The sequence below is a fragment of the Homo sapiens genome, chromosome 12, assembly GCF_000001405.40.
Source record: "Homo sapiens chromosome 12, GRCh38.p14 Primary Assembly".
NCBI lineage: Eukaryota > Metazoa > Chordata > Mammalia > Primates > Hominidae > Homo > Homo sapiens.
The window spans coordinates 71,162,237-71,187,362 of NC_000012.12; the positions used below are offsets into that span (position 1 = coordinate 71,162,237).

General features: G+C 38.6%; 1 annotated feature.

The window, feature by feature from the left end:
* Nucleotides 2,741-3,940: an enhancer, noted in NCBI's record as "MED14-independent group 3 enhancer chr12:71558757-71559956 (GRCh37/hg19 assembly coordinates)". NCBI's record gives its function as "activates an origin of replication core promoter dependent on BRD2, BRD4, P300/CBP and CDK7 cofactors, and independent of MED14, by STARR-seq in HCT116 cells {active_cell/tissue: HCT116}" and the evidence as "EXISTENCE:reporter gene assay evidence [ECO:0000049][PMID:35650434]".

Consider the following 25,126-nt stretch of genomic DNA (forward strand, 5'->3'; position numbering starts at 1 on the left):
CAATACAGTGTTTACAGAAAATGGATACCCAGTATTCAACATTCTTCCTCTTCTATAGATACTTTATTCTAAAATATTAATGACTTGCACCTGGACATAAATTTACCATATAGGACACATAAGGAAAAATATGGAAATGTGTATGAAAGAAACAGACTTTAGCTCACCAAAATATGTGTGTATAAGGAAAATTGAGGCAAAATGGTGCAGTGATTAAAAATGCAGTTTATAACCATGGCAGATTAGAGATGCTGTGGATTCTTATTAAGCCTCACTATGGCATTTATACTCCTTTTACAGCAGGTTAAGAGACCAGCTGCTGGGTGGGAACCAGGGTCAGGTCCTTGGCTTGGCAGCCCTGAAGCTCCACTTTGCCAGCTTTTCCAGGGGTGATCTGCTTCTTGGGAAAGATTCACCTTAAAAGCTCTCACAGGAGCCAGAATGTCAATTTCCTACTTTATCATGAGAAATGCACCCATCAGACTATCCATCCAGCATAAGACAGTAGCTGATCAGAAAACTCTCTCCCTGAAAAAAAAAAAAAAACAGCACAGAAGCCAGAGCCATACACAGATGGTGTCTTGGGGCATACATTTGGCAAAGGGGTCAGTGTTGCCAAGATATGATACGCTGACAAGTCTAGAACCACCCCAGGGATCCAACAGTCAAACCTTCCAGAGGAGTTCAGTGGTCTTAGCATCCTCTCCCTACAATTGCTGTGATACACCACCAAATTCGTTCTTCTTGAGGTTGCCTTCTCTGTACTCCATTCAGTCCCTGCCCCCTCTGTGGCCACATCTATCTCCAGATAAGAGTCCATGATAACTGACTAGGTTTCCATTTGCCAGACTGTAAATACAATTCAGTCCTGCTTCCAAGGTCACATTTTAATTGCATTTTAGATACTTCTAAAATTCTTCACTCACACAAAATTGATCACTTGGTTCATGCCTATAGATTTTACTAGTTGATTTGTCAGAAGTCGATCTTATTTTTCTTCTCTCTAAACCAGGACTCGTGCCAATGCACAGGCTGCAATACTCAACAAGAAAACGGAGAATACAAAGCAGGGCTTTGTAATCAACCACGTCAGGATCATTGAACAGCCTATTTTTGTGCTTTATTATTTGCCTGGTTGTTTGCTTTTTGGGTTTAAAGTTTAAATGCTGGCCTGCTTTTCTCTGAGTTCTCTCTGAATCAGTTCTTTGTTTGCCAAGTTCACAAGGTACACATTAACTATTAAACATGATTAGGTTCTAATCTGGCTTAACACTACCTAACAGTGGTTAAGAGGTAGGAAGGTGAGTGGAACCCACCAATACAGAAGAAAAAAAAATAGACTAGGGTGGCGATATTAAACACTTGTATGAGACACCAGCTTCTCAAACTGCAGGAGCCAACAAAATATTACACTGAATTTAACACAGCCTTGTCCCATGACTGGTCAGAAATAGACACTTTACTCAAAATGCTAATTAGGATCTCACAAGTGACTAATTCCGAATTACAAACATTTATTCAGTCTCACACAGTGGGTATGTATTGCATGGCTATCCTAGTTCCCAAGGAAAAATAAAATAACAGGAAATCATTGTTAAGAGGTCATTTATGAGGAAATCCCAAACCTCCATTTCACACCTTTGTAAGAAGCAACAAAATATCCCAAATAAGCTCAGGTAGAAAATAACTCAATCTCTGGTTTGAAGGAATTTCTCTGTAGCCACAAAGAGGGATATTTTAGGTTTTTCTTGAGTACTTGGAAGACCTGATTTGCCCTTAATGTGAGAAGAAAATGGAAGATATGGATATCCCAGGAAACCTGTGGCTGAATGCCTGAACCATGGTTCCCTAAAAGAGAGAGCAATGGCCTGACTCCATTTTCCTCCACTGTTGTCCCAGATGAATGGACCATCCCAATTTTAATCATATCAAATAAAAGTGCATGTCTTTAAACATACAATATCCAAATGCAGTCTTTCCGGAATTCAAGGATGGAATACACCATTCCTCTGAGAATTCTCTTTTGGTTCGTTTCTCCATTTATGATCAGGCATTAAAGAGTCCCTCCTAGTAATTATTTACTTATTAATATCCTGGTTGATTCAGAAATTGCCTCACCCACAAAGCCCAAACATGTGAGAAAGTCAGATTTTTTTTTTATTTTTTTAATTAGGCTAGCCTTGAGGGTTATTCAAGTGCCTTTAGGTCAAACAAAGCCCAGAGATTGTTTTGCTTTACACGGAGTCACATTGATCTTTTATGTACACGAATCATTCAACCCTCAGAAACTATTCCAAAGGAGTCCTTACTGGTTTGGAGCGTTTTTCTTAATTATGGAAAAGGCCCAAACTCTTTCTGCATGCTAATTTATTTATATCATATTTCTACTTGAGGCTTCAGAGAGCCAGGGAATTCCTGTAAGTGCTCCGCTGTCTTTCCTCCTCACTCTTCATGCTTTCTTGAATACATGAGCGTGAATAAGTAGTGTTAAGCCAGAAAGACTGCCCTAGCCAAGACCCCTCAAGAAGGAATGTGCAAATCTGGGAACACGTTCCAGAATTTCTTGCTACCAGCACAGAGCCTGATGTATAAGAAGTATCAGCCAGAAATTTCAAGTTTCTCAAGAATCACTGTATTCTCAACCAATCTCCTAAGGAGCTCTCTGAGAAGGAAATAGTTCATAAAGCAATTCTCTGTGCAGTAAAAGATTACGTCACTCCCTACCTTTGAACCCTCTAATGGATTCCCATCACAATTAGAATAAAATCCAAAGCCACACAAGATGAGCCCTTGGCTGACTCATCAACCTCATTTTCCCCTGTTCTCTCCCTTACTCATGCTGCTGCAGCCACAGTGGACACCTTGCTGCTCCTTGGACTTGCCAAGCGTATTCCTAACTTAGGGGCTTCCCATTTCCTCTGTCTTCCCCACCAAATCCTCTTGTGTCTAGAATTGGTGGGTTCTTGGTCTCACTGACTTCAAGAATGAAGCCGCCGACCCTCGCGGTGAGTGTTACAGTTCTTAAAGGCGGCATGTCCAGAGTTTGTTCCTTCTGATGTTCGGATGTGTTCTGAGTTTCTTCCCTCTGGTGGGTTCGTGGTCTTGCTGGCTCAGGTGTGAAGCTGCAGACCTTCGCCATGAGTTTTACAGCTCTTAAGGCGGCGCCTCTGGAGTTGTTCATTCCTCCTGGTGGGTTCGTGGTCTCGATGGCTTCAGGAGTGAAGCTGAAGACCTTCATGGTGAGTCTTACAGCTCATAAAGGCAGTGTGGACCCAAAGAGTGAACAGTATCAAGATTTATCGCAAACAGCTAAATAACAAAGCTTCCTGGGGCGGCCTGCTTTTGTTCCCTTATCTGGCTCCACCCACATCCTGCTGATGGGTCCACTTTACAGAGAGCTGATTGGTCCGCTTTGACAGGGTGCTGATTGGTGCATTTACAAACCTTGAGCTACACACAAAAGTTCTCCAAGTCCCCACTAGATTCGCTAGACACAGAGCACTGATTGGTGCATTTACAAACCCTGAGCTAGACACAGAGTGCTGATTGGTGCATTCACAATCCCTTAACTAGACATAAAGGTTCTCCAAGTCCCCACCAGATCAGCTAGACACAGAGCGCAGATTGGTGCATTTATAAACCTTGAACTAGACACAGGGTGCTGATTGATGTATTTACAATCCCTTAGCTAAACATAAAGGTTCTCCAAGTCCCCCAGATCAGCTAGACACAGAGCGCTGATTGGTGTATCCATAAACCCTGAGCTAGACACAGGGTGCTGATTGGTGTGTTTACAAACCTTGAGCTAGATACAGAGTGCTGATCGGTGTATTTACACTCCCTTAGCTAGCCATAAAGGTTCTCCAAGTCCCCACTAGACTCAGGAGCCCAGCTGGCTTCACCCAGTGGATCCCACACCGGAGCCGCAGGTGGAGCTGCCTGCCAGTCCCGTGCCGTGCGCCTGCACTCCTCAGCCCTTGGGCGGTAGATGGGACCAGGCGCCTTGGAGAAGGGGGCGGCACTCGTCGGGGAGTCTCTGGCAGCCAGCGCAGGAGCCCACGGCGGGGGGACGCGGGGAGGCTCAGGCATGGCGGGCTGCAGGTCCCGAGCCCTGCCCCACGGAAGGCATCTAAGGCCCGGTGAGAAATTGAGCGCAGCGCCGGTTTGCCCGCACTGCTGGGGGACCCGGCGCACCCTCTGCAGCTGCTGGCCCGGGTGCAAAGCCCCTCACTGCCAGGGGCCGGCGGGGCCGGCCCGGCCACTCCGAGTGTGGGGCCCACCAAGCCCACACCCATCCGGAACTCTTGCTGGCCCGCAAGCACTGCGCAGCCCCGGTTCTCGCCCGCGCCTCTCCCGCCACACCTCCCCGCAGGCTGAGGGAGCCGGCTTTGGCCTCGGCCATCCCAGGAAGGGGCTCCCACAGTGCAGCGGCGGGCTGAAGGGCTCCTCAAGCGCGGCCAGAATGGGCGCCCGAAGCTGAGGAGGCGTCCAGAGCAAGCGAGGGCTGCGAGGGCTGCCAGCATGCTGTCACCTCTCACTCTTAGTTTGAAGAGCTAAACAGTTCATCCTCTTCATTGTATTTCATATCTCTTTATGTGTTGTTTCCTTTTCTTCTTTCTTTCTGGAATGTCTACTTCAGAAGGTCAAGGGCACTTTTTGTGTTGTTCACTGCCATATCCCCAAGGCTTGGAATATAGTAAGCTCTTAATAAATATTTCTTGAATGAATAACTGAATAACAAGTTATCTAAATATACTAATTCATTTTTAAATAACAAGAGAGCCCCTGTTTGTGTTCACCATTGCATTCCTGCTGCCTAGAAGAATGACTGGCAAATTATAATCATCACTATGTGCTGGGAGATAACGTTGCAAAAGAAAAACAAAGTTCACACGGCTCCTACAAGCATTATATTCAACCAACTTGAGATGGCAAACAAATAAATACATAAGTAAATATGCAAAAAAAAAAAAAACAGAAAGAGAAGAATGGCAGTATCCTGTGCTAGAAAGTGAGGAAACTACTTCACATTAGGTGTAACTCTGATAAGGTAACATTTAAGCTAAGTCCTGTCTGATAAGAAGGCATAAGCCGTGCTGAGATCTATGATGAGAGCATTCCAGACAGACAAAGGCAATAGCACAAAGCCTCTAAGGTGAGCAGATACTGAGTATGCTGGAGAAAGAAGGAGAGCATGTACGTAGCATAGTTATGGAGAGCATGGTATGAGATGAGTTTCAGAGAGGAAGTTCTTCAGGCCAGATCCTGTAGAGAGGTGTAAGCCAAGGAAAAGATAATAAAGTTGATTTAAGTGGTATTGGAGGTGCAGGCAGATTTTAAGCAATGAAGTGACACAACCCAGTGTTCTAGGCAGAAGATGATTGTGAGTGGTCTAGGGTGAATGTAGTGTAGAGGAAGAGAAGTGAATGGATTCAGGATATGCTTTAGAGGTGAAATCAACAGAGAGTGAGGGAAAGAGAGGAACATGGATACCACCCAAATTTTAACTTCAACAACTTGGTTGATAGAAAACTGGGGGAGGAGCATAGGTTCTGTTTTGAATATTTTGGATTCAAGATACCTATTAGATATGCAAGTGAAGATATCACATGGACAGTTCAATATATGAATATAGAATACAGGGAAAATTTCAGGGCCGGAGATACAGATTTGGGTGTCCTCACTGATAAAAGAAAAACTTCAGCCAAATTAAACTTAAAGGAGTTTAATTGAGCAATGAAAAATTCACGAATCGGGCAGCCCTCAGAATCATAGCAGATTCACAGAGACTCTTTATATACATATATTTTTAAATATATATATACTTTAAGTTCTGGGATACACGTGCAGAATGTGCAGGTTTGTTACATAGGTATACATGTACCATGGTGGCTTGCTGCACCCATCAACCCATCATTTACATTAGGTATTTCTCCTAATGCTATCCTTCCCACAGTCCACCCCCCAGCAGGCTCCGGTGTTCCCCTCCATGTGTCCATGCGTTCTCATTATTCAACTCCCACTTATGAGTGAGAACATGCAGTGTTTGGTTTTCTGTTCCTGTGTTAGTTTGCTAAAAATGATGGTTTCCAGCTTCATCCATATCCCTGTGAAGGACACGAACTCATCCTTTTTTATGGCTGCATAGTATTCCATGGTGTATAAGGGCCACATTTTCTTTATCCAGTCTATCATTGATGTACATTTGGGTTGGTTCCAAGTCTTTGCTATTGTGAACAGTGCTGCAATAAAGCACTGTGTGCTGCAATAAAGCACTGCAATAAAGACATATGCATGTGCATGTGTCTTTATAGTAGAATTATTTTTAATCCTTTGAGTATATACCCAGTAATGGGATTGCTGGGTCAAATCGTATTTCTGGTTCTAGCTCCTTGAGGAATCACCACACTGCCTTCCACAGTGGTTGAACTATTGCACTCCCACCAACAGTGTAAAAGCATTCCTATTTCTCCACATCCTCTCCAGCATCTGTTGTTTCTTGACTTTTTAATGATCACCATTCTAACAGGCGTGAGATGGTATCTCATTGTGGTTTTGATTTGCATTTCTCTAATGACCAGTGATGATGAACTTTTTTCATGTTTGTTGGCTGCATAAATGTCTTCTTTTGAGAAGTGTCTGTTCATATCCTTTGTCCACTTTTTGATGGGGTTGTTTGTGCAGCCTCATGGTGGAAGAAGATTTATAGACAAAAAAAGGGAAATGATGTATAGAAATTGGAAGTGAGGTACAGAATGGCTGGATTGGTTACAGGTTGCATTTGCCTTATTTGAATATAGTCTGAACACTCAGCAGTGTATGAATGGTTGAGGTACAGCCGCCGGGATTGGCCAAGACTCAGTTATTGTTATAGGCACATACTCCTAAGTTAGGTTTTCAGTCTTGTCTACCTATGAAGCTAGGCTGCAGTTAGTCATAAGGATTCAAATATAGAAGTACAGAGTCCTCAGGCCACATTTAGTTCACTTTCACATTACCATATAGAAGTTATTTAGAAGCTAAGTACTAGATAAAATTACCTAAGGAGAAGGCATAGATAGATCACATCAGAACCCTGACCCTATCCCTGGAGCATACCAATATTTAAATTTGAAGAAAGTGGGAATAAATACATATCACTGAAAAGCAGTTAAGAGGAAAACCATCAGGGTAATGTCCAGGAAGTCAGAAAAAGAATGTCTCAGAGAGAGTGAGGCAGCTGCCAAGTGCTGCTGAGAAGTCTAGTAAGATGAAAACTCCCAATCCCACTGGTTTTGGCAGCATGGGATTACTGCTGTCTTTGAGAGAAGACCATCCTTAGTCACATAGTGGAGACAGAGCCCAAATGGAAAAGACTGAAGAAAGAATGAGAGGAATGAAAGTGAAATTATTTATTTTAGACAATTATTTCAAGTTTTGTTGTAAAGGGAAGCACTCAATATATGGAAACTAGGATAATATGAGTTTATATAGTTCCACTGTCCACTGGGAATTTCAGAGGGATGTGAAAATTTGTTCCCGTATAAAATGAATTGATGAGTTTCTTACCCTATGGACAATTAAGATTACAAGGTTGTTCATGTAGAATTAAACTCTTTATTAATTATATCAAAGCCTGTAGGAAATCATGAATGCAGATCACAACTAAGTTAATTGTAATATGCAATAGAAAAATAGAAATGTAAAGCTTCTTGGATAATAACTTCCTATAGGCTCTCAGATGAAACGCTTTCAAAACCTACAGTAACTCGGAATTGTACCTTACATAATAGTAGTAAGGAACATTATATATCAATTGAATTAATAAATCCAATCAAATATTAAAAGTATTGTATGGGAAATCAAGGGAAACCTATGGTGAGAATTTTAATAGCTATATTATGCGATGCTCCAGAAAGAATCTTCGGCAACTTAGAAAAAGATACACATAGTTATAATGGTTATCAGTGGCTGGGAAGGTGATTGAGGGGTTGCAGGGAGAGGTGGGGATGGTCAATGGGAAAAAAAAACAGAAAGAATAAATAGACCTATTATTTGATAGCACAACAGGGAGACTATAGTCGATAATAACTTAATTGTACATTTTAAAGTAACTTGAAGAATGTAATTGGATTGTTTATAACTCAAAGAGTAAATGCTTGAGGGGGATGGATTCAAAAATACATAAATAAACAAGAAAATTTAAAGTGAAAGAATAGATGGGGAATAGGTGGAAACAAGACTTCTCACAGTATATGTTTTTATTTCCTTTTAATTTTGAAGTATGCAAATATATTAATTATGAAGAAAATTAAATTTTTTAAGAGTGCAGTGGTTTGATCCAAAGCTGAAGAGACAGGTTACTGAACAGGTCTTAGCAATCAGGCTGGAGTGGTGTTTTAGGTCTGCTGTGGGTCATATCGAATGGAAAACAGTAAGATAGGAGCTCTATGTTGGCTGGGTGGAGGCAAAGCCTAAATAAATAAAGGGAAAGCCAGTGACCAGGGGCCAAATCTAACATTTCAGAGAACTTTCAGTATGGGGAAATTGGGCATAATTATTATGATGTGATACAAGCAGGCAGATATATATTCAAGAACACTCTTCTCTGAGGATCCATTCTAGGACAGGGGCTTTGTTTCATGCTTTGATTTTTTATTTCAAATATTTCTGAGTAAAAAGGCCAATTTGGTGCATGTTAGACTGTTATCCAGAAGGAAAAAGATCTGGAAAAAAAGTCGGTTCTGCTGAAGCTAGAAGCCAATGTGAACAGCAAAGGGAGAGAGTTAGTTCTTCTTAAGGATCCTTCGGGTTTGAGCCCCAGCATTTTTCTGTCTTTCCTGAGGTTTAACAGCCAGACACAGGCAGTACTTTGAATGTGGGTGGTCCCTCAATTCCCACCAGGGTAGGTAACTGTTCTCAATTTTGACGCTGTTTTGCCCAATGTTTTGTTGGCCTTCCTACTGAGTCACTTTTTCCTCTGTTTAATTTATGTGCCATACTAGTATCTTCATATCTTGCAGGACCTCAGACCCAAGGCTATCAAATTAGATTGATTTGTTTCTCCAAATAACTGAGCATCACCTCCTATCTGTCCTATTTTTTTAATTAATGACTTCAGTTTTTAGAGCAGTTGCAGGTTTTCAGGAAAATTGGGCAGAAAGAGAGTTCCCATATATTCTCTCCCCCACCTCCCACCACAGTTTCCCCAGTTATTAGCATCTTGAATTACTGCGGTACATGTGTTCTTATTAATGAGCTAATATTGATATATTAGTGCTAAATAAAGTTTACATTAAAGTTCATTCTTTGTGTTGTACATTCTATGGATACTGACAGCTGTTTAAGACACTTGCCCTCCTTAGAGTATCATACAGTTTCATTGCCCTAAAAATCCCCTGTGCTCCATTGATTCATCCCTCTCTCTCTCTTCCTTCCACTCCCAACCTCCACCCACTGATCTTTTTATCTGTCTCCACAGTATTGCCTTTTTTTTTTTTTTTTTTTTTTGAGACGGAGTCTCGCCCTGTTGCCCAGGCTGGAGTGCAATGGAGTAATCTTGGCTTACGGCAACCTCTGCCTCCCGGGTTCAAACAATTCTCTGCCTCAGCCTCTGGAGTAGCTGGGATTACAGGCACCCGCCACCACGCCCAGCTAATTTTTGTATTTTTAATAGAGATGTGGTTTCACCAGGTTGGCCAGGCTGGTCTCAACTCCTGAACTCGTGATCCGCCCGCCTCGGCCTCCCAAAATGCTGGAATTACAGGCATGAGCCACCGTGTCCGGCCCATAGTATTGCCTCTTACAAAATGTCATACAATTGGAATCTCATAGTGTATAATTTTTCATATTGGCTTCTTTCACTTAGTAATGTGCCTTTAAGTTTCATCCATGTGTTTTTAGCTCAGGAGTTTATTTTTAATGTTGAATAATATCTCATTGTATGGATGCACTGTAATTTGTTTATCCAGTCACATATTGAAGGCTATCTTTGTTATTTCCAAGTTTTGGCCAGTATGAATAAAGTTGCTATAAACAGTCATGTGAAGGTTTTTATACAGTCATAGTTTTTAACACATTTAGGTAAATAGCAAATAACACAATTGCTGGATTGTATGTTAAGACTATGTTTAGTTTTGTAAGAAACTGTCAAACGATCTTCCAAAGTGGTTGCATCCTTTTACATTCCTACCAGCAATAAGTAGGTGTTCTTAATGATCCACATCCTTATTGGCATTTGGTATTGTCAGTATTTTTTATTTTAACCATTCTAGTAGTATTTCATTGTTGTTTTAACTCACAATTCCCTAATAATATATGATGTTGAACACCTTTTCATATGTTTACTTGTCATCTGTATATCTTCTTTTGTGAGGTGTTTTCAGATCTTTTGTCCAGTTTTTAATTGGATTGTTTGTTTTATTCTTTCTGAGTTTCAAGAGTTCTTTGTATATTTTGGAGGCCAGTCCTTTACCAGATAGGTGTTTTTACAAATATTTTATCCTTCTGTGGCTTGTCTTTTCATTATCTTAATCTAATTTATTTTTAATGAGACAAACATCATCTCATGTGAAATCGACACCCAAAAACTGTTTTTCTTGACCAGTTTATTTTCCCATTTTCCCAGTTTACAGACACATGTTGTTACTTCTGGAACAAGTTTAGCATCATATACACCATTAATACTTTACTGTGCCTTACTGAATTTCTATAATCACTGATTCCTTGAACTTTAAGATTTCACTCTGTTGAAAACTGTGAAGGCTCTGAGGTTTATCCTACTCGCAGACTAACAAGTTAACTCCCCATAGTTTGATGGTTGCCATCAAAAGACATGAGACTCCTGGGTAAGACAGAAATGACTTTACAACTCATGGCACAGCAAGCTTTACAAGCTTCATGTTTGTGCAGGTTCTCTTTGTTTCCCAAGTCCCACTGGGGAGATGCCGAGAAGCCCAGGTGGATGGTGAGTATGCAATAAATTTGTATCACACAGAGGGACTCTGAGCTTAGAAAACTCCAATCTTTTAAAGGGGTGCTTTTTCCTCTCCTATAAGGGAGACTTCCAAGACTGTTTGCTATATAAACATTCTTGAAAAGATAGTCTGGAACAAAATCTGTCAATTCCTCTGCTCAGAAGATATGTAGAAATGTGAGAGACCCATGGAGAATTTTCTTCCAAAGTAATCTTTCATCTCTCCAGGTCATGGTAAACTGCCAAAATAGTATTATATTTTAAAAAACCTCCTTATACTTAGCAAAAATACCTGTAATTGTTCTCTATTAGCTAGACAAAATATAAACTCCTTAGCAGAGCATCAAGAAGATTAAATATCGGTTTCCCAACTAACCTTTATAATCTTAATCCTAAAACTTCCCAACATGTATCATTCATACCAACCAATACAAACCTTTGTGCTCTTTTTCTTGTTTAACTAGTTCTATATTTCATTCCTTCCAGCCTCTCTGTCTCAAATGCTATGCCCATATTAACAACTTCATTGATACAATGAGACCTATTTGTTCAGGCATTAAACCAAATGGTACCTCTCACATAAGACATTTTTAAATGAATCCCTTCCTTCTCCAGAACTCTTCTAGCACTTTTTTTTCCCATAACTCAATTTAAGTATACTTTATAAAGTTGTCTATTTGCATTTTCTCTCTATTAGTGTGCAAAAAACTAGGGCCTATATCTCAATTTTGTTTTTCTTACACTAAGAACTATGTCTAGCAAATATTGAGTGAATGAAAGAATACATAAATATTGTGATTTTTGTATTTTCCTAAGGAATTTCTAGAGAGAGAAGATGGTATAATTTTAATAAACAATCATCTTCTATCAATAAAACAACTGTTTCTCAACTCTCCAACTTTTTTTCATCACTACAATAATCAGAGATTTTTTTAGACCTTCCTGGTATTTTAGGACACAACCCAGTGCTTCCTTTTATTAAACCTGCTGCAACATTTTAACTGAATGTGAAAGTAGAAAAGCAAAATAAAAAACTGCATTCTGGCTTGTCAACATCCCTCATTTTATCTCTTTTATCTCCACTAAAATCCTTCCTCAACTTTCCTAACTGTTTGACATCCTTTGAGTGCTTTCATATAAGCATTGCTTGTCATGAAGTCACCTTGCACAACCCAGCCCTCCCAAGAAGAGGGCAGGTTTCAATTAAGCTAACAGACAGCAGGGTGATAACAGTGTCCACTGGGATCAGAATAACACAATGTTTTCAAGAATGAAGGGTTTATAACTTTCTCCAGAAACTAACAAGCAAGGCAGCTCGGCTTGCAAGGAAGACAAGATGGCTCCATCACAGAGACTGTAAAGGGGCAAAACAAGGGTTAAAACTAGCTACTCAGAGATGCAAACCAAAGGCTTTTGGCAAAAGCATGGACTTTATTTTCACAAAATTCTGGGTTTTAAAGTATTTGCTTTTTACCAGCTCAGAGAAATTTGTTATTTTGTCTCTTCAACAAATATCTTTTAAATCCCTAATAAGACAATAGTCAACAGAGCAAAAGCAATCTCAGTCCTGGTAGATTTTGCAGTCTAGCAGGGCATAGATGGAAAGCAAATAAGCAAGCAAATCAATTTATATTTATGAATTAAGTGCCATGAAGGAAAAGCACAAGGTGTCAGGAAAGTTGTTTGTAAAAAGCTACCTAGATTGCATGGTCTAGAAAGCCTCCTATTGGGAGGTAGCTTTACTTGATAAGAAAAATAAGAAGCCAGTCATGCAAAGAGCATGGAGGGACTGGGAGGAGGAGGGAACAATTAATCAGGGAAAGTAAAAGTATTTTACCTCATCAGCAAAATGGGTGTTCTTATGAGAGTTTACATATAAAGGGTTTGGCACAGTTCTGATGCATTGTAAATGCTCAGCAAGTGATGGTTCTTGTTATTGCTATGGCTATTGACCTTATATACTTTTTAACCAATCTTTAAAAGCCTACAGATCACTGATCAATCTTTTAAACACCAATAGACACTTAAATAATAAGCATCAGCAGTTACATCTTTAAAAAAGAGGGAAATATGTAGAACATTATATACAACATAGAGAAAATCTCATAAGAAACTCAGTATCCTCACTAATGTATATGCTGATAATTAGGAATTTTACATTTGTTCTCTGAAGCAAGTGAAAATGTAATTGAAATGTAAGCAGGCAAAATGTTTAATTTAATGAAGAAAACCTGTTGTTTTTGAGCAGCTTTAACCATGTACACTTGCATACAATTAATGTGTTGATTACAAATGACTTGAGTTTTATTTTATCATTAAAGCATGGCAAGTAAGACCTTATTCTGTAACACTTGACCTTTGCAAATTTGCATTTCTTGACAAAGTTTGCCATACATAAATAATGCCACTAACTTAGACTGATTATTTTCTTCAGTTAGTCCAAATTAGAGGTTTTTTTGTGTGGTCAGTTCTAAATTTACCTGCTTTCCTTTAGTAGCTTTTTATAATTTATACTTTATCATTTTCCAGAAGGTAATGGATCCAATTAAGGTGGACTTTTCATGGTTAAACGACCTTTGTAATAGTTATAATTTGATAAAGATTGAAAAGCTGTTCAAGATATAATTTTCTTTACTTTATTATTCTGCCAAATCTTCCTTTCTATAATCCTTAAGACTATCCCTACATTTCTGATTCCATATGCGCAGAGCTCCATAAGGGCCCCATATGATTCTCTACATACTTAAAAAGATTTTTGTCTTTGTTGTCTGCCTCATGGGAGGAGATAAGTTGTTATAAAAGTTGTGCAAATTTTAGCACAAAATACCTAGAAACCAGCCTCCCATTAGACAAAAAGCCCCAAACTTGGCCTTACATGACTAATGTGTTTTATTAATTTTGAATGATAATCTTGATGTCCCACAGAAAGGATGGTTTCAGATCACGTCTAGAGTGTGTCCTTTACAGTTTGTCATGTAAAATATTTTGAAATGTATAAGATCGTCATGAGATAAGTGTCGAGCAATGTTAAAGGGTAATTTTCAAAATAAGGATAATATCATGGATTTCATACAGATGTCAAGTGAGTTTGTATTAGAGATTTTATTTAACTCATTATTAGTGAGGGCATTGGTAAGAGGTTACAAGCAATTCAAAGGAGAATTCAAAGAAAAACAATTTGTAGGTCAAGTTTATTGAAATGGAGGCAAAAGTCTTGCTACTTCCATAATAAGTAAAAAAGGCAATTGAATCTCTACTGGGCTGAATCTAGTTGAATGTCCAAAACAACAATTATCATTCATTTCTATCAATTATCTACAGTTTACAGAATTGTAAAATAGCTCAAAGTCAATGAAAGCCCAGAGCCTCCATAAAATCAGAATCAGATAACCTAGAAGAGATTGTTTTAACCAATTCAGTTTTCCAATGAAGCACAAAATTTTCCCTACAACATAAATAGTACATATACTTTCCACTGTTGTTAACAAACTCATTCATCCACAAACATATACTGATATCTTCCTATATGCAACACAGAAGGCTAGTCTCTGGGGACACAGAAGTGAATCATATATAATCTCTATCCTCGAAAAGCCTAAAATACCACAAGGAGAGACATATGCAAACAAATGAGGGTAAAAAGTGTCAGAGGAGTTATAATAAAGGTTTATACAGAACAGAGTAGTAAAAGGAATAATGAATAAGCTTCAGTATGTGCTTTATGCCTGTAATTGTTCTAAATGCTTCTCATACGGTTGTTTCCTTTAAACTTCATAGCTCCATGTGGTAAGTTCAATTTCAAACCCATTTTACAAATAAGGAATCTGAGGCACAAGGGAATTAAATAAATACATCCAAGATCCCACATATCCTACATGGTAGAGCCAGAATTTAGGCCTAAATCTGATTCTAGAGCCCATACTCCAATCTCTGTACTGTACTATCCTCCCATAAAAGATAGAGTACTTCATTTTACCTTGGGTGAGGGGTGGGGGTAGGAAACTGGAGGAGAAATCTAAGATGAATTTTAAAAGATGACTGATGTGCATCTACAGGTTGGAACAGGGGCTTTCCAGAAAGAGAGCCACATGGGCCAATGTACCAAGACCTGCCTTGCTCTGAAAGGTCACAGAGCACCTTTCAGGCCAAACTAAAAATGTTTATATGTATGATGAATGAAAAACTGACAAAGAATTTAAAGCTAGAGAGAAACATGATCCATTTTGCTTTTTAAAAAGAACTATGGTTTGATTGTTGTTTTTTTCCCCCCAAGATGGTAGATGGGAGGCATTGTTAGTATGCCTCTCCCACTTGCAAAGACAAAATAGAGTGTAGAGATTCACACTGTGAGCTTTTTTTCCAAGAAGCAACACAGGAACTTAACAGGAAAACTGAAAGAAAGCACAGATGCTTTGAAAGAAGCTCCCTACATGGAGCATCAACATTCTTGCAGATGAAAAAAGGGTCTTTCTGATCTGAATACCCAGAACACTGGGTCAGGAGTATGAATGACAGGTGGATGACTATCTAGCTGGCCTGGCAGGGGAGCTGAGGTGGCTCCCTCCCTTCCCCATGAAAGCTCCCCAGCCACCTCTGTTAAGGCTGCAACATCTGCCAACCATTGGGTATTGCATTTACCCACCTGCTTTAGCCACAACTGGCTTTAACCAATGGACATCTCCCCTACTGGCCTGAAGCCTGAACCATTCAACCACATTAGTAAAATCCTGAGGGAAAAATAACAAATAAATAAATGTACACCACTGGAGAAGAAGATAAACATATCAAGATACCTCTGCAATTCCAACCCCACAGGAGACAGTGAACCTGCTCACACACCTACCACGTTGCCACTGTCACCAGAATCTGAGAAAGACATCATACAAAGACTCTCTATAACCAAGAAACTCATACAGAGTCTTTACAACCCTGCAAGCACCAAGAGCCAAATTAGGCCACATTAAATTATAAACAATAAGGTCACATCCTCAAAGGGAAAAAATAGTGAAAAAACTACAGCCAAATAAAAAATAAAATCAGGAATAACTAGAAATAGTCTACCCAAATGAGGAGTCAGAAAAATAATTCTGGTAGGAGACAGATTATCCAGACACAAAGTCAACAAAGAAACACTAGAGTTAAACTAAACTCTAGCAAACAGACCTAATCAATATTTACAGAACATTCTACCCAAGATCTGCAAAGCATACTTTCATCTCATCAGCATATGGAACATTCTCCAAGATAGATCACACATTCTAGGACACAAAACAAGTCTCAATAAATTTTTAAAAATGAAAGTCATATCAAGTATCTTCTAAGACCCAGTGGAATAAAACTAGAAATCAACACCAAAAGGAGCCCTCAAAACTATACAAATACATAGAAATTAAACAATCTGCTCCTGAATGATTTTAGGGTTAACAATGAAATCAAGATGAAAATTGAAAAATTCTTCTAAATAAATGATAATGTGTCACAAGTTATCAAACCTCTGGGATACAGCAAAAGCAGTGCTAAGAGGAAAGTTTATAGTGCTAAGTACCTACATCAAAAAGTTCAAAAGGGCCAGGTGCAATGGCTCACGTCTGTAATCCCAGCACTTTGGGAGGCTGAGGCGAGTGGATCACGAGGTCAGGAGTTCAAGACCAGCCTGTCCAAGATGGTGAAACCCCGTCTCTCTAAAAATACAAAAATTAGCCAGGTGCAGTGGCAGGCACCTGTAATCCCAGCTACTCAGGAGGCTGAGGCAGGAGAATCGCTTGAACCCAGGGAACAGAGGCTGCAGTGAGCCAAGATTGTGCCACTACACTCCAGCCTGGGAGACAGAGTAAGACTCTGTCTCAAAAAAAAAAAAAAAGGTTCAAAAGATCACAGATTCACAACCTAATGTCATGCCTCAAGGAACTAGAGAAACAAGAACAAACCAAACTGAAAGCTAGCAGAAGAAAAGAAATAACAAAGATCAGAGCAGAACAAAATTAATTTGAAACAAAAAGTACAAAAGATCAATGAAACAAAAAGTTGGTTCTTTGAAAAAATAAACTAAATTTGATAGATTAACAAAGAAAAGAGAGAAGATTCAAATAAGTTCAACTAGAAATGAAAATGGAGACATTAAAACCAACACCACAGGAAAAAAAAATACAAATATTATTGAAGTCTACTATGAACACTTCTATGTATACAAACTAGAAAATCTAAAGGGAATGGATAAATTCTTGGAAACACAACTCTTCTTGATTGAAGCAGGAAGATATGGAAATCCTGAACAGACAAAAATGAGTAGTGAGATTGAATCAGTAATAATAATAATAATAATAATAAAAAGTTGCCAACAACAACCAAAAAACCCAGGGCCAGATGGATTCACAGCTGAATTCTACCAGATATTGAAGGGAGAATTAGTACCAATCCCACTGAAACTACTCCAAAAGAGTGAGAAAAAGGGAATCCTCCCTAACTAAGTCTATCAAGTCAGTGTCACTCTGATACCAAAACTAGGAAAGGACATTACAAAAAAAAAGAAAGCTATAGACCAATTTCCCTGATGAACATCGGTACAAAAATTCTCAACACAATACTAACACATCGAATCCAACATCACATTAAAAAGATAATATACCATAATCAAGCACGTTTCATCCCAGGGATGCAGGGATGTTTTAACATACACAAGTCAATAAATGCAATATATCACAAAAACAGAATTAAAACCAAACTATATGACCATCTCACTAGATTCAGAAAAAGCATTTGATAAAAGCCATCATCCATTCATGATAAAAAAAAAAACCTCAACAAACTAGGCACAGAAAGAACATACCTCAAAGTAATAAAAACTCTGTATGACAAGCATAAAGCCAACATCATACTGAATGGGAAAAAGTTGAAAGCATTCCCCCTAAGAACTAAAATAAGACAAGGACACCTACATTCACTTCTATTCAACAGAATACTGGAAGTCCTAGCCAGAGCAATCAGACAAGAGAAAGAAATTAAAGGTGTTCAAATTGGAAAAGAGGGAGTCAAACTATCTCTGTTGGCTGATGATATTCTCATATATCTAGAAAACCCTAAAGACTTGTCCAAAAGACTTCTAGATTTGATAAATGAATTCAGCAAAGTCTCAGGTTACAAAATCAATGTACATAAATAGGTAGCACTTCTATACACCAAAAATGACCAAGCTGAGAATCAAATCAATAACTCAATCCCTTTTCTGATAGCTGCAAAACATAAAATAAAATACCTAGGAATATACTTAACCAAGGAGGTGAAAGATCTCTACAAAGAGAACTATAAAACACTGCTGAAAGAAATCATAGATGACACAAACAAATACTTTCATCTCATCAGCATATGGAACATTCTCCAAGATAAATCATACACTCTAGGACACAAAACAAGTCTCAATAAATTTTTAAAAATCAAAGTCTCAATAAATTTTTAAAAATGAAAGCATGGGAAATACATCCCATGCTCATGGATTAGAAGAATCAATATTGTGCAAATGTACTATTCAAAGCAATCTACAAATTCAAAGCATTTCCTATCAAAATACCAACATCATTTTTTCACAGAATTAGAAAAAACAATCATAAAATGCATATGGAATCAAAAAAGAGCTCAAATAGCCAAAACGATCCCAAGCCAAAACAACAACAACAACAACAACAACAAAGCAAATTTAGAGGCATCACATTATCACATTACCTGACTTCAAATTATACTACAAGGCTATAGTTACCAAGACAGCATGGCACTGGTATAAAAGTAGATACATAGACCAATGGAACAGAATAGGAACACAGAAATAAAGCCAAATACTGCAACCAACTGATCTTCAATAAAGCATACAAAAACACAAATTGGGGAAAGCACATCCTATTCAATAAATGGTTCTGGGAAAACTGAATAGCCATATATACGAGAATTACACTAGACCCCTATCTCTCACTACATACAAAAATCAACTCCAGGTGTATCAAAGACTTAAATCTATGACCAGAAAGCATAAAAATTCTAGAAGAAAACCTAGAAAAAACTCTTCTGGACATTGGCCAGAAAGGAATTTATGACTAAGGCCCCAAAAGCAAATGCAACAAAAACAAAAATAAAGAAATGGGACCCATTTAAATTAAAAAGCCTCTTTGCATGGCAAAACAAATAATCACCAGAGTGAACCATCAACCCAGCAAGTGGGAGAAAAGGTTTGCAAACTATGCGTCTGACAAAAGACTAATATCCAGAATCTACAAGGAACTCAAACAAATCAGTGAGAAGAAAATAATCCCACCAAAAAGTGGGCAAATGACATACATAGATTTCTCAAAAGAAGACATAAAATAGGCCAACAAATATATGAAAAAATGCTCAACACCATTTGTCATCAGGGAATTGCAAATTAAAACCACAATGCAATACCACCTTACCTCAGCCAAAAGGGCCATTATTAAAAACTAAAAAAAAAAAAAAAAAAAAAAAAAAGATCTTGGTGTGGATGTGGTGAAAAGGGAACACTTACACACTGCTGGTGGGAATGCAAATTAGTACAACCTCTATAGAAAACTGTATGGAGATTTCTTAAATAACTAAAAATAAATCTACTATTCAATGCAGCAATCCCTCTACTGGGTAATTAGCCAAAGGGGGAAAAAAAGTCATTATATCAAAAAGACACCTGAATGTGTATGTTTATCACAACACAATTCACAATTGCAAATATATGGAACCAACTTAAGTGCCCATCCACTGATGAGCAGATTAAGAAAATATGGTGTAGATAACCATGGATTACTACTCAGCCACAAAAAAAGAATAAAATAATGTCTTTTGCAGCAACTTGAATGGAACTGGATGCCATTATTCTAAGTGAAGGAACTCAGAAAGGGAAAATTAAATATTGTATAATCTCGCTTATAATTGGGAGCTAAGCTATGGGTACACAAAGGCATACAGAGTGGTATAATGTACTTTGGAGACTTAGGATGGGGGAGGGTGGGAGGAGAGTAAAGAATAAATATATACCTGTTGGATACAATGTACACTACTCAGGTGATAGATGCAATAAAATCTCAGACTTTATCACTGTACAATTAATCTATGTAACCAAAAATCACTTCTACCCTAAAAGCTATTTAAATAAATAATTTGAACTATGGTCTTTATTCTTAAAATGGCAATATGGATGATGGATTACAGACTACAGAGAGAACTGTAAAACACTGCTGAAAGAAATCATAGATGACACAAACAAATGGAAATACATCCTATGCTCATGAATTAGAAGAATCACTATCATGCAAATGACCATACTATCTAAAGCAATCTACAGATTCAATGCATTAAGAATTGCATTGGGATAATCATTAAGAAACTATGGGAATAGGGCAGATAATGACCTAAACCAAGGCAGTAATACTGGAGAGGTAGAGGAGCAATACGCACACACACACATATGCACACACACACACACACATTGACACACACAGAACATGAAGGAAGTGAAGGAAGTATAGTTTATAGAACTCAGATATAGGGCTATCATAGACCACTGATTTTAAAATGACATATAATAAGCTTTCTATTTTAAGTTATAGGAGATGCCATACTATTCATTGAGGTTGAAAAAAAAAAGTAAGAAGAAACAGATTTGTTGGAAATATGAGCTTGATTACGGACGCGTTGAGTTTGAAGTGAAAACATCCAGAAGAAAGTTGGATATTAAGCAGAAGAGCCCAAGCAAAAAGTCTAAACACTGATGAAGATTCACGAATCTTGAATACCAAGGGGGTAGATGAAGCCATAAAAAGAAATCAAATTACCCTAGGCAGGCAGAAAAGTCAGAAGAGAAAAGAGAGAACATTGAGGCACATCAACAATAAAAGTATAGACCAAGAAAGACCTGTGATGAGACCAGGAAGGAAGAGAAGTAGGGGATTCGAAAGCAAGTGAGTTATGAATCATAGGGAGGAAAATGGTTTTCAAGGAAGATGGAAATTATTAGTTTCAAATACCACAGATAAGACAAGTCCTGTGGAGGCCTGAGTCATCAGTTCCCTTGCCAGAGTGGTTTCAGCAGTATGAAGTGCAGTTGGAGAAGTTACCTGAAAAGTGAGTGGGCATAGGTGGGTAAAGGTAGCAGAATGAAACCATTCATTTACCCATCCTCTCTTCTATATCCACCCACCTAACAGTAAAGGAATTTTTAAAACCCTTACCCTGTGATGGACAAAGCAAACAGGAGAGGAAAACAATTTTTGGAAGCTGGAAAACTGACAGATGAGTGGTAGATGATTTAACAAAGTGAAGAAAGTTGTATTCTCAACCAACAATGAGGAAAGCTAAGCAACCAATTTGCACCCCAGATCTCCCACCCAACTCTTCTGGAAATAATGGCACCAGATGTTGATGCCACTGGGATTTTGATGGAAGACAGGATTAAAAACAGAAGGATTATTTGAAAGTTTATTTAAAAAGCACTCAGACTCCAAATGGCCTCTCTTCTCCAGTAGACAGGCTTCCACTTTATGGAAAACTAGAGATTTATAGTCAGCAGAAAATGAAAAAAAAATAATTACGTGAGAAGACACAGTCCTTGGTTGTGTATCATACTGAATTCAGTGAGTTTTAAAGGAAATTTTCATACTCAATGTTGAAACCTTCAGCCCTCTTCCTATCTCTGTCCCAGAAAGTGGTATCCAGAATTACAGCTTCCAGGCAGGAGACTAAAAGAGTCTTCACCAGTGATTCTGATCAGCCTAAGGAAAAAAGACCTAAAAATACTGATATCTGGGATTCCCCAAAAAACAGCTGAAACAGCCAAAACCTGACCACAAAAATCAAGCCCATAGTTCACAAGCCAGAACTCACCCACTCTTACAGAGCTTTCCATCAGCTTTACAGTGTTACAACCTGAAACATAAACAGATAGTCACAGATCACCAGACAACTAAAGAAAACATCTAACATGCAAGGCAGAAAACAAAACAAGCAGCAAATAATCATCCATGCAGGGAGGTGAAAACTACAAAAAACTACCATTAACATAGTCAGAGATAAGGTTGATTACATCTGAAATAGAAGCAGAATATTATAAGTAAATAAAGGGAATAATCAAGAATAACAAAGAGCTCTTGGAAAAATAAAAATATATTTGTAGTAATAAAAATCTCAGAAAAGGGGTTTGAAGATATGGGGGACCTCTCCTATAAAGTAGGGCAAAAGACAGAGATCAAAAATAGAGAAAAGAGGATGAGTGTGGTGGCTCATGCCTATAATTCCTGCACTTTAGGACACCAAAGTGGGGGCATCACTCAAGCCTAAGAGTTCAAGACCAGCCTGAGCAACATAGTAAGACCCTGTTTCTACAAAATTAAAAAAAAAAATTATCCAGGCATGGTGATGCATGCCTGTAGCCCCAGCTACGTCTACTCAGGAGGCTGAGGAAGGAGGATTGCGTGAGCCCAGGAGGTCAAAGCTGAAGTGCACCAGCACCAGCCTGGGCCACAGAGTGAGATCACAGAATGAAACCCTGTTTCACACACACACACACACACACACACAAAAGAGAGTGATAGAGGGAGAAAGAAAAGAAAAGAGAAAAGAAAAAAAAAAGAAAAGAAAATTAGAGAATCAAAGGTGTCCAATATTCAAATAGTAGAAGTTTCAGAAAGAATAAATAGAGAAAATGGAGAAAAGGAAAGCATTAAAGAACAAATCCAAGAACAATTCCTACATTGAAAGCATACACTGATTGCCCAGAACAACAGATAAAAATGTACCCACATCAAGGCAGATCCTGAGAAGTTTCAGAACACTTGTATGAATATTTAAAACATAAGTAAAGTCACATAAAATAGAGCGGCCTTAGATTTTATTTCAGCTTTATTGAAGTGTATTTAACAAATAAAAATTGTATGTATTTAAGATGTACAACATGATGTTTTGATATATGTATACATTGTCAAATGATTACCACAATCAAGCAAATTAACACATCTCCCTTTTCACATAGTTATAATTTTTATGTGTGGTAACAATACTTAAGATCAATTTTCTTAGCAAATTTCAAGTATGCAATACAGTAGTATTATTAACTATAGTCATCATGCTATACAGTAGATCTTCAGAATATATTTATCCTGCATAACTAAATCTTCGTACCCTTTGACATCTCCCTATTTTACCTGCTCACCCACCTGTCCCTGGAAATCACAATTCTACTCTGCTTCTATGGGTTCAACTTTTTAAGATTCCACATATAAGTAAGATCCTGCAGTGTCTTTCTGTGTCTGGCTTATTTCACTTAGCATTATATCCTCCAGGTTTATTCATGCTATCTCAAATGACAGAATTTCCTTTTTTAAAGGCTGAATGATATTCCACTAAATAAAGTTCCATAGATATAATCTCACATTTTCTTTATTCATTCATCCAGCAACAGACACTTAGGTTGTTTTCATATCTTGATTATTGTGACTAATGCAGCAATGAACATGGAAGTTCAAAAAACTCTTTGACATATTGATTTCCTTTGCTCTGGATATATACCCAGAAGTGGGATTGCTGGATCTATTTTTCAAATTTTGAGGAACTTCCATACTATTTTTCATACTGGCTGTACTAATCATTCCCACCAATGTATAAAAGGGTTCTCTTTTCTTCACACCTTCACCAAAACTGATTTTTGTCCTTTTAATAATAGCCATTCTAACAGTAGTAAGATGATAACTCATTGTGGTTTTGATATGTTTTCCTGATGATTAATTATATTGAGCACTTTTTCATATATCTATTGGCCATTTGCATGTCTTCTTTGGAAAAATATCTTTTCAGATTCTTTCCCCACTTTTAGTTTTTTTTTGAGACAAGGTCTCACTCTATTTCCCAGGCTGGAGTGCAGTGGTGTGATCATAGCTTACTGCAGCCTCAAACTCCTGGCTCAAGGGATCCTCCTGCCTCAGCCTCCCATGTAGCTGGGATTACAAGTACGTGCCACCACACCACACCTGGCTAATTTTTTTTTTTTTAATAGAAAAGATCTTGTTATGTTGCCCAGGCTGGTCTTGAACTCCTGGACTCAAGCGATCCTCCCACCTTGGCCTCCCAAAGTGCTGGGATTACAGGCCTGAGCTGCTATGCCCAGCCCACTTTTTAATTAGATTATGTATTTTTTGCTCTTGAGTTATTTGAGTTCCTCATGTACTTTGGATATTAATCCTTCATTAGGTGTACAGTTTGGAAATATTTTCTCCCATTCCATAGGTTGATTTTTTTCCTTTTCTGTGCAGAAACTTTTCAGTCTGATGCAGTTTCATTTGTCTGTTTTTGCTTTTTTTTTTTGCCTGTGCTTTTGCTGTCACATACAAAGCATCATTGCTCAGAACAATGACAAGAAGCTTTATCCTTATGTTTTATTCTTAGTGTTTTACAGTTTCAGGTCTTACATTTAACTATTTAATCAATTTTGATATATTCAGGAGAGAGAAGATGGCAGATAGGAGGCAGGACTAACTTGCAGCTCCTGCTCAGACAGAGCAGTATGTGGGGACTTGCATCATGAACTTGCTCCAGAACTACTGCAGAAATATATCAGGGAAGCCAAGAAAACCCACAGGCCCTCTGAAGGAAGTGGATTGCTCCTGCAGGACCTGGGAGACAGCCCAAATTCTGTGAGTGCCCAAGCTGTGACAGTGAGAAAGGGGGATCATCCGCACCTGAACACACACTCTTACTGGGGAACCTGGAGGTATAGATCACAGGAGAAGGATTTGACCTTACCTGGAGCTGAGTCAATTTAGAGAGCCAAGTGAAATACGGGGTAGAGAAAGCAGCAGGAGAAGCCCTGTGGGCTCTCCAGGTCCCCAGGGAAACCATTTCTGATTTGTCTCACGTGAGTACTTGGGCAGGGCTGCCAGAGGAACTGGGAAAAGACCACAGGGAGAAGGAAACCTTCAGCTGAACTTTGTAACAATTCCAACTGAATACGAAGTCTCCTGGCCAGAACTTGAGGGAGGGCATGAATCCAGTGTACAGACTCAACAGGCCAGGAGGCACAGAAGTTCTGCTTGCTTTCTCAGCTGGTAGGCGGGTAGCCTGGGGCAAGTTCTCAGCCCTGCTCACCCACTGCCTGGAAACAAACTTGGTGCTGTTGTGGGGGGCACAGTG